The sequence below is a fragment of the Homo sapiens genome, chromosome 14, assembly GCF_000001405.40.
Source record: "Homo sapiens chromosome 14, GRCh38.p14 Primary Assembly".
In the NCBI taxonomy this organism is placed as follows: domain Eukaryota; kingdom Metazoa; phylum Chordata; class Mammalia; order Primates; family Hominidae; genus Homo; species Homo sapiens.
This window is the reverse complement of record NC_000014.9, coordinates 28,970,303-28,984,021: the sequence shown is the minus strand read 5'-3', so window position 1 is coordinate 28,984,021 and position 13,719 is coordinate 28,970,303. Positions and strand designations below refer to the sequence as shown.

Here is a 13,719-nt window from a genome sequence, read left to right as displayed (position 1 = left end):
GACTAAGCCTAGTACACAATAGTTATTTTTTCTGTTCCTCTCCCTTCTCCCATCCTCCACCCTCCAGCAGGCCCCAGTGTCTGTCGTTCCCCTTTTTGTGTCCATGTATACTCATTATTTAGTTCCCACTTATAAGTGAGAAAATGCGGTGGTTGGTTTCATATTCCTGTGTGAGTTTGCTAAGAATAATGGTCTCCAGCTCCATCCATGTCCCTGCAAAGGACATGATCTCATTCTTTTTATGTCTTCATAGTATTTCATGGTGTATACATAGTACATTTCGTTTATCCAGTCTACCATTGATGGGTATTTAGGTTGACTCCACGTCTTTGCTATTGTGAAGAGTGCTACAGTGAACTTACATGTGCATGTGTCTTTTTGACAGAATCATTTGTATTCCTTTGGGTATATATCCAGTAGTGAGATTGCTGGGTTGAATGGTAGTTTGGTTTTTAGCTCCTTGAAGAATCACCACACAGCTCTCCGCAGTGGTTGAACTACTTTCCACTCCCACCAGCAGTGTATAAGCGTTCTCTTTTCTCTGCATCTTCGTCAGCCTCAGCATTTGCTATTTTTTGACTTTGTAATAATAGCCATTCTGACTGGTGTGAGATGGTATCTCATTGTGGTTTTGATTTGCATTTCTCTAATGGTCAGTGATGTTAAGCTTTTTTTTTTCACATGCTTTTTGGCCGCCTGTATGTATGCCTTGTCTTGAAAAATGTCTTAATGGGATTGTTTGTATATTTTAGATAAATTTGTTTAAGTTCCTTATAGATGCTGGATAGTAGACCTTTGTCAGATCCATAGTTTGTAAATACTTTCTCCCATTCTATAGGTTTACTATTTACTCTGATGATAGTTTATTTTGCTGTGCAGAAGCTCTTTTGTTTAATTAGATCCCATTTGTCAATTTTTGTTTTTGTTGTCATTGCTTTTGGCGTCTTCATCATGAAATCTTTGTCCATTCCTATGTCCAGAATGGTATTGCCTAGCTGGTCTTCTGGGGTTTTTATAGTTTTTGGTTGTAACTTAAATCTTTAATCCATCTTGAGTTGACTTTTGTGTATGGTGTAAGGAAGGGGTCTAGTTTCCATCTTCTGCATATGGCTAGCCTGTTATCCCAGCACCATTTATCGAATAGAGAGTCCTTTCTCCATTGCTTGTTTTTGTCAGCTACATTGAACACCAAATTGTTGTAGATGTGTGACCTTATTTCTGGGCTCTCTACTCTGGACCATTGGTCTATGTGTCTGTATTTGTACCAGTACCATCCAGTACCATGCTGTTTTGGTTATTATAGCCCTACAATATAGTTTGAGTCAGGTAGTGTGATGCCTCCTGCTTTGTTCTTCATGCTTAGGATTGCCTTAAATATTTGGACTCTTTTGGTTCCGTATGAATTTTAAAGCAAAACTTTCTATTTCTGTAATGAATGTCTTTAGTAGTTTGGTAGGAATAGCATTGAATCTGTAAATTGCTTTGGGCAGTATCACCATTTTAATGATATTGATTCTTCTTATCCATGATCATGGAATTTTTTTCATTTGTTGATGTTATCTGTGATTTGTTTGAGCAGTGCTTTATAATTCTCATTGTAGAGATCTTTCTGTGCTCGCTTCACTAGCACATACACAAACATTGGAACAGTATGGAGAAGATTAGCATGGCTCCTGCACAAGGATGAGATCTTTCTCTTCCCTAGTTAACTGTATTCCTAGGTATTTTATTATTTTTGTGGCAATTGTAAATGGGATTGCATCCCTGATTTGGCTCTTGGCTTGGCTGATGTTGGTGTATAGAAATGCTAGTGTGGATTTTGTATCCTGAGATATTGCTGAAGTTGTTTATCAGCTGGAGGGGCTTTTGGGTCAAGACTATGGGGTTTTCTAGATATAGAATGATGTCACTTGCAAACAGGGATCATTTGACTTCTTCTCTTTCTATTTGGATGTGCTTTGTTTCTTTTTCTTGCCTGGTTGCCCTGGCCAGGACTTCCAATACTACACTGAATAGGAGTGGCGAGAGAAGACATCCTTGTCTTGTGCCAGTTTTCAAGGGGGATGCTCCTAGCTTTTGCCCATTCAGTATAATGCTGGCTATGGGTTTGTCATAGACAGTTCCTACTATTTTGATGTATGTTCCTTCAATACTTAGTTTGTTGAGAGTTTTTAACATGAAGCGATGTTGAATTTTATTGAAAGCCTTTTCTGCATCTGAGATGATCATGTTTTTTTTTCTTTAGTTCTGTTTATGTGATGAATCATGTTTACTGATTTGCATATGTTGAACCAACCTTGCATCCCAGAGATAAAGCTTACTTGATCGTGGTGGATTAGCTTTTTGATGTGCTGCTGGATTCAGTTTGACAGTGTTTTGTTTCGTTTGTTTGTTTTTTGATATGAAGTTCTATCACCCAGGATGGAGTGCAGTGGTGTGATTTCGGCTCACTGCAACCTCCACCTCCCAGGTTCAACTAATTCTCCTGCCTCAGCCTCCCGAGTAGCTGGGATTACAGGTGCGTGCCACCACACCCAGCTGATTTTTGTATTTTTAGTAGGGATGGGGTTTCACCACGTTGCCCAGGCTGGACTCAAACTCATGATCTCAGGTGAGTCTCCTGCCTAGGCCTCCCAAAGTGCTGGGATTACAGGCATGAGCCACCGTGCCTTGTCCTATAGTTTGCCAGTGTTTTGTTGAAGATTTTTGCATCAATGTTCATCAAAGATATTGGCCTGACGTTTTCTTTTTTTGTTGTGTATCTGCCAGGTTTTGATAACAGAATGCTATTTTCATAGAATGAGTTGAGGAGTCTCACCTACTCAATCTTGTGGAATGGTTTCAGTAGGAATGGTACCAGCTCTTCTTTGCACATCTGGTAGAATTTGGCTATGAATCTGTCTGGTCCTGGGCTTTTTTTTTTTTTTGGTTGATAGGCTATTTATTACTGATTCAATTTCAGAGCTCATTATGGGTCTGTTCCGGGATACAGTTTCTTCCTGTTTCAATCCTGGGAGGGTGTATGTGTCCAGAAATTTATCCATTTATTCTAAATTTTATAGTTTATGTGCATATAGATGTTCATAATAGTCTTCTAGGGTTATTTGTATTTCTGTGGAATCAGGAGCAATATCCTATTTGTCTTTCCTAATTATATTTATTTGGATCTTCTCTTTATTAGTCTAGCTAGTGGTCTATTATCTTATTAATTTTTCAAAAAACAGCTCTTGGATTCACTTATCTTTTGAATTATTTTTCACATTTCAATCTCTTTGGTTTGGCTCTGATTTTGGTTATTTCTTGTCTCTGCTAGCTTTAGAATTCGTTTGCTCTTACTTCTCTAGTTATTTTAATTATGATGTTAGGTTGTTAGTTTGAGGTCTTTCTAACTTTTTGATGTGGACATTTAGTGCTATAAATTTTCTGCTTAACACTGCCTTTGCTGTGCCTCAGAGACTCTGGTATATTGTATCTTTGTTCTCACTAGTTTCAAAGAATTTCCTGATTCCTACCTTAATTTCATTATTTACCCATAAGTCATTCAGGGTCAGGTTGATTAATTTCCATGTAATTATATAGTTTGGAGGAATTTTCTGATTCTTGAATTCTAGTTTTATTGCACTGTGATCTGAGAGAGTGGTTGGTATGATTTCAGCTTTCTGCATTTGCTGAGGATTGTTTTATGTACAAATATGTGGTTGATTTTAGAGTATGTGCCATGTGGCAATGAGAAAAATGTATATGCCATTACTTTTAGGTGGAGAGTGCTATAGAAATCTATCAGGTTCATCTGTTCCAGTGTTGAGTTCAGGTCCCGATATCTTTGTTAATTTTCTGCCTTGATGATCTGTCTAATACTGTCGGTGGGATGTTGAAGTATCCCACTATTATTGTGTGGGAGTTTAAGTCTCTTTGAAGGTCTCTAAGAACTTGCTTTATGAATCTAGGTGCTCCTGTGTTGGGTGTGTATATATACATATATGCATGTATACGACAGTTAAGTCTTCTTGTTGAATTGAACCCTTAATCATTATGTAATGCCTTTCGTTGTCTTTTTTGATCTTTGTTGGTTTAAAGTTTGTTTTGTCATTAATTAGGATTGCAACTTCTACTTTTTTCTGTTTTCCATTTCATTGGTAGATTTTTCTCCATTCCTTTGAGTCTATAGATGTCATTGAATGTGAAATGGGTGTCATTCCATGTGTATCTTTAAGACACATACCATTGTTTTGCTTCCTTATACAGATTGCCACTCTGTCCTTATTTTATCCAATAAGAAATGGTAGAAAACATAAAATTGTCTGAAAGTTTTCAAAAATACATGCAGAAGCCATAAAATGACAGTTATTTTCTAGCCAAATATCAGCATCTAATGTATTATACCCAGCCATACCCTTATTGCAGAAAATTCTTCTGTTTTCAGTCTGTCTCATTTTTCCTGATACCTCCCTGCTTCTTGCTACTTATTTTAGCTCTAGATATAATTTAAACAATCACCCTTTTATTGAGCTCTACTGTACACTAGAATCCATTGAGAAAGTCATTGACTTTCCCAGGAAATCAGAAGTACACAGATCAAAAAGTATACTGTGACTTGCAAAAGTCTATACATATACAAAGAACAGATAGGAAGGAGCAATCAAATCTGCCTGGAAGAGTCAAAGAAAGTGACTTCACCCTATTGTGATAACAACCTCAAAACCTTAATCCCATATTCCACAAATAAGGTTTCTCTCACACAATATATATATTCAGCTCAAGTTGGGTCGTCACTCAAGAATCCAGAATAAAAAAGGTTCCACCCTTTCATAGTTTCCTCATTTAGAACAGAAGATTCCATATTCATCATGGCAGTAGAAGAGTCTACATCACTTCATCTCAGAGGCCACTGGCCAGAAACGTAGTTGTCACCCTCCTCGAGCCCCTACCACCCACTGCAAGATGGTTGACAAATATGGACAAATAGGTATAATATTTGATCAATGTTATTATCTCTACCACAGAAAGTTTCAGAAAGGTGATGAAATTTAAGCTGGGCTTTAAAGGCTACATCAAATTTGACAAATGGAATTGTGAGGAAAGCACATTAGAAGTAAAGAGTGAACCCACAAAAACAAGAGAACATCATGGTATGTAATGAAGAAATGTCCATTATTTGCTCTGTGGCTAAGACTAATAGTTATTATTCAAACATCTGTTCTCTTCTTTTCCTGTAGCAATAGAAGCTGTAGCTGGGCATAGGTTAACCTATCCGCAAACTTCATTGTGTTACCTCTTTTGCGTTTAAGCGTCACAACAGGAGTAAATTCTTATCTATGAAATGAGAGGAAAGATATGTACAATTTGTGGCATATACTTCTAAAGGAATAAATACGCCTTCCTCTTCTCTTTTCTTTCCATCACACTGGCCTACAGACACTTTGGGAAGGCATTTCTGTAGCATGTATGATAACAAACTATAGCAATGGCAGAGCAACAAGATGGAAAGGTACTACTTGATGGAAAGATACTACTTGATACTACCCAAGTGTCATAGGGTTCCTGAGTGGTGACCAAGAGAGATAAGTTTATTTCTATTGTGATTAAATCATACTCTTTTTGGAATCACTTTTTAAAGCAGGCAAATCTGTAACCTAATATGGCCTCTACTAGGTAATATTAGTTTTCTTTCTCTCTTTGTGTTATCTCTTGTACCTATAAAGATTTTTGCAATTAACATACAATTATAAATTCGAAGCTATAATTGAAAAAATAAATCTGCTTTGAGGTTATTTTCTAGTACCCAGGTTTTGTATACATAGGTGAAGCAGTACATTTGATTTCAGAGATACTTCAGAGGCTTTTAAATTCGTTTGCTGTAGGACTAGTGTGCATATAGTACAATGATATAGGTTAAACAGAATAACCATCATATTTCAGTGGCACTGTGAGATATATTTGAAAATATATCTGCCTATCACTGGAAGATGACTACACTGTATGATAGAAAATGGCATTGGTGGTGACAAGAGGGGAAGGGGGGCTGATAACTGAAGAAAATGATAAAGGGATAAGGAACCTCTTCCCAGCAAACTTGTAGTGAATTCTTCAATATATGAGTCACAGATTTTAGAGTAGGTATCTACACTGCAGGGATTGAGAAAACCTACTGTGCCCCAGATATTGGAAGAGCAGAGCAGGAAGTGTAGAAATATCAGGGAACCCAAGGATACACTTGAGAAACACCATGCTGGATTATAAATTTTGTGAAGGCGTGGATATCTTGACTTTTGCATCCCTGGAACAATGGCTAGAATTTAGTAGGTAATCAAAAATATTTGTTCTTGACATCCCTAGTCATTGGCATTTCAGCAAATGGAAATGTCAATTTACCAGTTGTTCAGGCCCAAATCTTTAAAGTCAGCCCTGATTCCTGTCTTTCTTGTACACTCTGTATCCAGGTCATCAACAAATCCTATTAGCATACCAGTCGTAATAATTTCTGAATATTATGACTCCTAAGCAGGCCCACCATTATCACTCTAGTGCAAGCTATCACCACTTCCAGGCTCCAGGCTCTTAGCTGGACTTCCAGTTTATACCCTTGCTCCCTGTATTAGTTTCCTGTGGCTGTTGTAGTAAATTACCATAAAATTGGTGGCTTAGAGCAACATAAACATATTCCTTTATAATTCTGAAAATCAGAAATCCAAACTTATTCTCCTGGGCGAAAGTTAGGTACTGGCAGGGCTGGTTCCTTCAGTAAGCACAGAAGAGAATTAATTTCTTTTCCTTTTACAGTTTCTAGAGGCTGCCTGCATTCCTTGGCTAATGACTTTGCATCACTCTGACGTCTTGCTCCCATGGTCGTATCACCTACTACTGGCCCTGATCTCACTACTTGTTGTAAGGATTGGTGTGATTACATCAGCGCTTTTGCACTTGCTCTCACCTCTGCCTGGAATATTCTACCTCCAGATATTCACATGCTTGGATTTCCAAGTGCATTCCAGTTTACGATTATGTATTATCTGACCGCAGGTCTTCTCTGAGCACCCCGTGAGATACGGCAACCTCTCCTGTCAATCACCCACCCCTTATCTTGCTTTGCTATTTTTCATAGCACATTATGTCCATCTGAAATAGTATGTATTTGTTTGCTTGACGTCTTTCCCCCACTTTGAGAACAGTGTTTTGTTCACTGTTATGTCCCTAGCACTAGAATAGTTTCTGACACAGAGGTAAACTCAAGTATTAATTTTTAAATAATAAATGAAAGAATGCATGTTGAATTAGTGATTTCTAAACCAGTTTCATTAGATACCTTCTTGAAATAGTCATGGTTCTTTTGCTATTTTCCCATTCTTCTTTTCTTAAACATGAACATCAAGATAATTTATTATCTTCTCTTCACAATAAAAACAATATAATTTTCCAATACTTTCATTGCAAGTGCTTATCACAAGATGAACATAACATCATAGGCTTGCCTAGATGACTACTGATACTGTTTATACATGGAAATATGTTCCAAATTAGAAATAAGTAAATTCCCATTAATTTTTTGAAATACAGTCTCTTTATAAGTTTGTAAGACTATTGGCATATACCTGATTGCAGAAAATACATACCATGTGCACTTACATTTATAGTTTAATTAACTAGCAGGTTTGAACTCATGGGAGGTTGCTCCAATTAGCTGATTGTGTTGAAGTAATGACAATAATATTTAGAGTTACTGTAACACTTCACCAACACTAATTACTACCCAAATTACTGTTGCATTGTCATCTCTCTTTTACAGATATGGAACAAAGGGATAAGGAAGTGACTTGCCTAAGTCACTGAGGAACCTAATATTGAGATTAGCACTCAATGATTCCTGGCTCTCAGAATGTGTGCTGCTACCACCAGGCCACACTCTTCCCTCCAGAGAGAAGATGTGTCAGCACGGAATTGTGCTGAAGCAAAGATGTGAAATAGAATGATTACATATCTACCTAGTGGGAAGATCTGGGGAAGAATCTATCAGTGCTGGCAGAGAAGCAAACCATACGACATCACTCATCCCCAGAAAGTGAAGTTAAGGGAAATAAAAAACAATCTACACCATTTAGAAAACACAGCCACCCCATACCCTTGGAAAAAATACACTAAAATATCTTCATCTGATTTGACCTCTAATAACATGAATAATTGTCTTATAACTCACTTTCTTACCTCTTGATTATTCTACAGATCCGGCACATATGAGCAAAATCTGATGAAATTCACTCATTTAATTTGAAGATTTTAATTATGTAGAAAAAGTAGGTTCGCATTCTTTCTTATTAATAGAGTTCAAAAGACTTAAGGCCTAGAGTCTAGCTTCAGCTATTAAAATTATACATCAGCATGTGTTTCTCCTTTATTAAGCAATGATTCGTTATACCTTTCCCCTTAGAGGACACCCACACTTCTTTAAAAATAAGTTGGGCGAACATCGACTGTGAATGTGTTTTTGTTTTCCTAATATAATATCAGTGGGAGTTGTACACACAGATCAGGAGCTGTACACACATTATTATCTCCAAATAATTAGTATTTGTGTATTATTTCCCTTCATCTGGCTATACATGAATACAGAGGCACTGGTACTACTCATCACAAAATACAGTGGTAGCTGGTTCCAGGGCTGCCTTTGTGAATACTCCCTGCCAGTGGCTGAAGAGACTAAGGAAGCACCCCTGCTGAGTCCCCTCTCGTCCTCCTCAGGGAGTATGCACTAATTCTATCTTCTCCTATTGGGAAGGCAGCCAAAGGCAGAAGCAAAGAAGGACAGCACTGTAGTTCCTAGAGAGAGGAAGGTGCCAATAGTCAGGAATGGAGAAGAAAAATGTAAGTTTTATAAAATAAGGATAACAGAAACAATGATTATTAGCACCTCAATCTTTCCATTATAGCCAAAGAGGAAAGTTCCATGACTGGCAGATGGAGTAACAGCATCCAATTGCAGTCTTATGTTTGCACCACATACATAGAATAGAATAGAGAAAGGAAACTACTTTAAGGATGTAAGCTGTGGAGTAGAGTCAAATGCAGACTGCGATGGTATTTTTGCCTAGTAGATTATGTGTGTCACACTTCGGCAAGCCCTTACCAGCTAGCTTGGCTCTCTGCTTGCTTTTGACCTTGGAAGTTTGACCAATAATTTAGTTTCAATTATTTATAGGAAAAACACTTAGCTATTTGAAAAAAAAGTAATAGGAGTTATTTCAAAGAATTTTTTATATACATAGGGCTACTAATAAAATGAGTTCAAGATATTTTGTTTCTATGGAGTGGGAAATGCACAGGATGAATGGGAGAGACACATTCAAATGAGCTTTTTAGAAATGAGAGAGTAAGAAATACGTCTGTTGGCAAATCATCCTTCATAAATAATAACATGTTGAAAAATATAACTAATTATGTTATATATAAACTTGAGCAGGAGCACATTTCTGAACACTAGACCTTTTTATTACAGTATAGAAAGGAAAAATATGATTTTGTAGAGCCATTTTCTCAATGTTTACAATTAGAAACGAAAGATGAATATTAAGTCTAGTTTAAAAATTACAATTCTTTAAATAGTTGAAAATCTCTTTATGATCATAAAAACATTAAATAGGATTTAAATGATCATTATGTTTATAAATATATTAATGGCACAATAAAGGTAGCATTTTTTCCCCTTAAATGCGTTACTTAAAAAATCTGTAAAATGAAGGGAAATTAATATCAAAAATTTTTTTTAATTAAAATTTCTCAGTTCCATGGTAACAATGTATTATAAGTAGCAAATGTGTAATTAAAGCAGTCACTATATGTATATTTAGATCATCAATATGCAGTCTTCAATTTATTTAACAGAAAGTAGAAAACATTACAAAATGAGAAGCTTTGTGATGTTTTTCTTCATTTAATTCTGAGCTTTAATCCCTCCTCCCCAATTGTAATGTATAAATTCTATAATTTAGCCCCAATCTAAAATCCAGGAAAGAAAATATTTAGGAGGGAGATAATTAATTCAAAGAAGGTAAAAATATTAACTGTGTTGTATTACCAAGGCAATCAGAGAATGAAGGCACTGCTGTTTGAAAGTGGAAATTACCTGTAATTTTAGGATTTTAAATGAAGAACTCTATAACAGAGAGTGCAAATTTGGAAAACTATCCACATAAACTGAAATGTCTTTTCTTTATTTTAACCTATTCTGCATGAGAGAGCACCAAAGTCAGATTATGCATCTACAAATTTGGAGGCCTTCCACTTCTGAGATCTGAGAAGGAATTGCTTCTCTATGACTTGGCCTCTGGATTTAAAAGTATAAAGAGTATTTAAATGCCATGAAGCTAAACAAGGGTTGCTAGAGTAGTCCATCTCTATGGAAAAAAATGGCTCCACCAACCTTGATAATGATGATAGCCTGGTTCGTGGACCTAGAAACACGGGCTCCAGAAATAAACTATCTTGAACAATATCTTGTGGTCCAAGAAATAGGCAGTGTAGACTTTGAAGTCTGAGACCAGATATCAAATAATGGCTTTGAGAATAAGTATTGGGAGAGTTACCCAACCTTTCAGTGCTTCAGTTTCCTTATCTATAAATATTTGGATAATAGCAGAATGTATTTCATTAGTGTTTTTGAGGGGTTCAGATCAGATGAACATGGAAAGATCTTGGCAATGTAGATTATTTAAATATTATTAAATTCACATTTGCTATTGATGCTTTTACATGAAATTGTAAGATTTGCTTAAGTATAATCATACTTTACAATTCAGGAAAACCCCATTATTTTCTGAATTAGTAGATTATCAAGATGGTATTATATGATATGACATTATATAATAGGTAAAAATAACATATAATATATAATATACAATATAACAAATAATTTTAGATCCAAAAGGAACCTTAGAGATTTTACTGCATAATCAATCACGACTCAGCTTAGAAATGTGAAGTGTATTCCCAAAATCAGTGTTGGGGTTTTTTTTAAGTGTAAAACATAGGTTCCAAAACTAAAACTTAGAAAACATTTTTTTCCTCTCAAAGACATTAAGAGATTGGAAAGTGTGCTGTTCCATCGGACTCTCTATTAACTCTTTCTACTAATTCTATTTTTATTAGTTGAAGTAATCAACCTCTGTATAAATTGGCTGGTCTACCAAACCATTTAAGAATAACAGAAGGCCCTTGTGAAAGATTTGTACTTGTGTTAATGATGTCAGATGACAGGGTCAGGAACACACAGCAGAGATGCCTACTGGCAGCAGAGATATTTTTATATTATTAATCACATCCAAAAATTATCTTAGGAAAGTAGAATTAATATTCCCACATGCCATGGAAAAGCTGAATTGTTAATAGCCTCCCTAGGGCTTTGATTATTTCTGCGGCATCTTCAACGACTTTGTCAATGTTTAAACATTATAAACTATCACAATTTTTCCTCATAAAATGAAATCCAGTGCTTTGGAGGCCTTGCTTTCCTTAAAATAAAGTATGCTAAACTGCTTAAAAATTAATAGATGAGGCCGGGCGCAGTGGCTCACGCCTGTAATCCCAGCACTTTGGGAGGCCGAGGCGGGTGGATCACGAGGCCATGAGATCCAGACCATCCTGGCTAACAAGGTGAAATCCCATCTTTACTAAAAAAATACAAAAAAAATTTACCTGGGCGTGGTGGCGGGCGCCTGTAGTCCCAGCTGCTCGGTGGGCTGAGGCAGGAGAATGGCGTGAACCCGGGAGGCGGAGCTTGCAGTGAGCCCAGATCGCGCCACTGCACTCCAGCCTGGGGGACAGAGCGAGACTCCGTCTCAGAAAAAAAAAAAGAGAGAGAGATCCAGTTCGTACTTAACTGATAGAGATTTTAAAGATTTTATGAGCCAAAATTGCCTATCTCCTAATTTCACCCTGCTCAGGAAAAATGTCAAGGATAGGGAAAGTGGTGAGGAGATTTTAGATAACTTTACAAGTAATTACATAACAAGACAACTTACAACTAGTACCTAGAATGGCCTGGCACACAGTAGGTGTTAAGCAAATATTTATCAATAAGTAAATGAGTGCTTTTCTCCACAAAAAAAAAAAAAAAAAAATGGAAGTTTCTTGTGCTATCTTGTCTCTTGACATTAATTTTACATCAGCTCTGTGGCATTAAATGGAGTAGGGAGTAAGCTAGCAAGCTTTTGGACTGAAAAACAAAGGTTCTTATATTCTTTGTTGGGACATTATTCTCAACCAGGAGGCACTCAGGATAATTAAATTATAAAGGATGGGTAATGAGAAACTTTGGGAGAAAACATATGCGTATATGGAGAGAGTGAGAGAAAAAAGAGAGACTCCAAAAGATATATTTTAAAGTATATCAAATCTACAAAAGTTAGTATGCTTTTAATTTTATTATATATACAAGGGAATTTTGGTAATCTTACACTAGTTGTCAGAATAATCTCAAACTATTTAACTTCTTAAACTTTAATAATTTTAGGAACTATTTTAACTAAACTAAATTGCCTTCATGAACAAAATTTAAATATACTTATAGATACATTGTTTTCAGACATACTGATACAAGGTATTGTAAAAGAGATTTTAGCATTGATACAAGTTGAGTGATATTATAACATCAAACAAATTAAAGTCTTCTTAAATTTATTAAATACCTTCATGTAGAGAACTGATGTCTTGGGATAGAAGGTGCATTTGTTCTAGTATTTTTCTTCATTGTGGCAGGTTGAGATGAGTGACTTTGGAGCAAATTTTATAAAGAAAACAAAGCCTTGATTCCTAGCAAATATATATTTTATTTACATTAAATTATTATTCCATGTATTCATTTAGCAAACAGTTTTTGAGCCTCCACAATATGCTAGTCATCACCCCTGAGCCCCATAAATAAAATGAAAATGAAAATTCAGGAACATGAATGGAGCTGGAGGCCATTATCTTTACCAAACTAATGCAAGAACAGAAAACCAAATACTGCATGTTCTCACTTATAAGTGGGAGCTAAATGGTGAGAACACGTGAACACATAATGGGGAATCACACACACTAGGGCCTTTTGGAGATTGGAGGGTAGGAGGAGGGAGTGGATCAGGCAAAATAACTAGTGGGCACTAGGAATAATACCACAGTGATGAAATAATCTGTAAAACGAATCCCCATGATACAAGTTTACCTATATTACAAACCTGCACATGCACCCCTGAACTTAAAAGTTAAAAAGTCAAATAATAAAGTACTTAAAAATTTGAAATTAAGAAAACTCAGGGAGTTTACTGTTTATTCGGTCAACCCTTCTCAGAGGACAGTCATGTAGCTAAGAAGACTGCCTAGGACTAGAGTGGAGTATCATTTTGGAGATGCAAAGAGGTCTCTGAAGAGAAAGCAGCATATAGAAAGGATCGTGGCTAACCACTGGGTAACTCTTTCTTGGTTGATCTGCCTTGTGTTGATTCAATAATAATAATAATAATAACACATTGCAGTGATAATATAGAATATTCATAAATGATAAACATTTTCAGAGAAGACTAGGAAATCAATGTCAATTAAGATTCAGGCTAAAATTTGAAGTTATGAAATTTGCTGGTGCCTTGAAGCTATTTGCTCACAGGAGGGTGACTTTCTGGAAGAACTCTTTGAACAGGTTTTTTTCAACCAACAAAACTTCATAATAGTGTAAAATGAATGATCCAGATTTAT

At 36.1% G+C, this 13,719-nt stretch overlaps 2 long non-coding RNA genes and 1 pseudogene across 3 annotated transcripts in view, besides 1 other annotated feature; 2 read left to right on the top strand and 1 right to left on the bottom strand.

The window, feature by feature from the left end:
* Positions 1-8,373, top strand: part of LINC02326 (long intergenic non-protein coding RNA 2326) — an 89,407-nt gene extending 81,034 nt beyond the window's left edge. For both annotated transcript variants that reach the window (NR_184206.1, NR_184205.1), the window contains 3 exons: positions 5,004-5,129; positions 6,781-6,885; positions 7,784-8,373. This is a non-coding gene — a long non-coding RNA (long intergenic non-protein coding RNA 2326). The remainder of the gene's footprint in view (positions 1-5,003; positions 5,130-6,780; positions 6,886-7,783) is intronic.
* The window catches only part of LOC107984685 (uncharacterized), a 216,619-nt gene extending 203,886 nt beyond the window's left edge, over positions 1-12,733 (bottom strand). The window contains exons 1-2 of the long non-coding RNA XR_007064101.1: positions 12,675-12,733; positions 11,683-11,824 (exon numbers count right to left, since the gene is read on the bottom strand). This is a non-coding gene — a long non-coding RNA (uncharacterized LOC107984685). The remainder of the gene's footprint in view (positions 1-11,682; positions 11,825-12,674) is intronic.
* Positions 1,612-1,719, top strand: RNU6-864P (RNA, U6 small nuclear 864, pseudogene; annotated as a pseudogene).
* Positions 6,154-7,353: an enhancer, noted in NCBI's record as "MED14-independent group 3 enhancer chr14:29445875-29447074 (GRCh37/hg19 assembly coordinates)". NCBI's record gives its function as "activates an origin of replication core promoter dependent on BRD2, BRD4, P300/CBP and CDK7 cofactors, and independent of MED14, by STARR-seq in HCT116 cells {active_cell/tissue: HCT116}" and the evidence as "EXISTENCE:reporter gene assay evidence [ECO:0000049][PMID:35650434]".
* Positions 12,734-13,719: the final 986 nt, after the last annotated feature.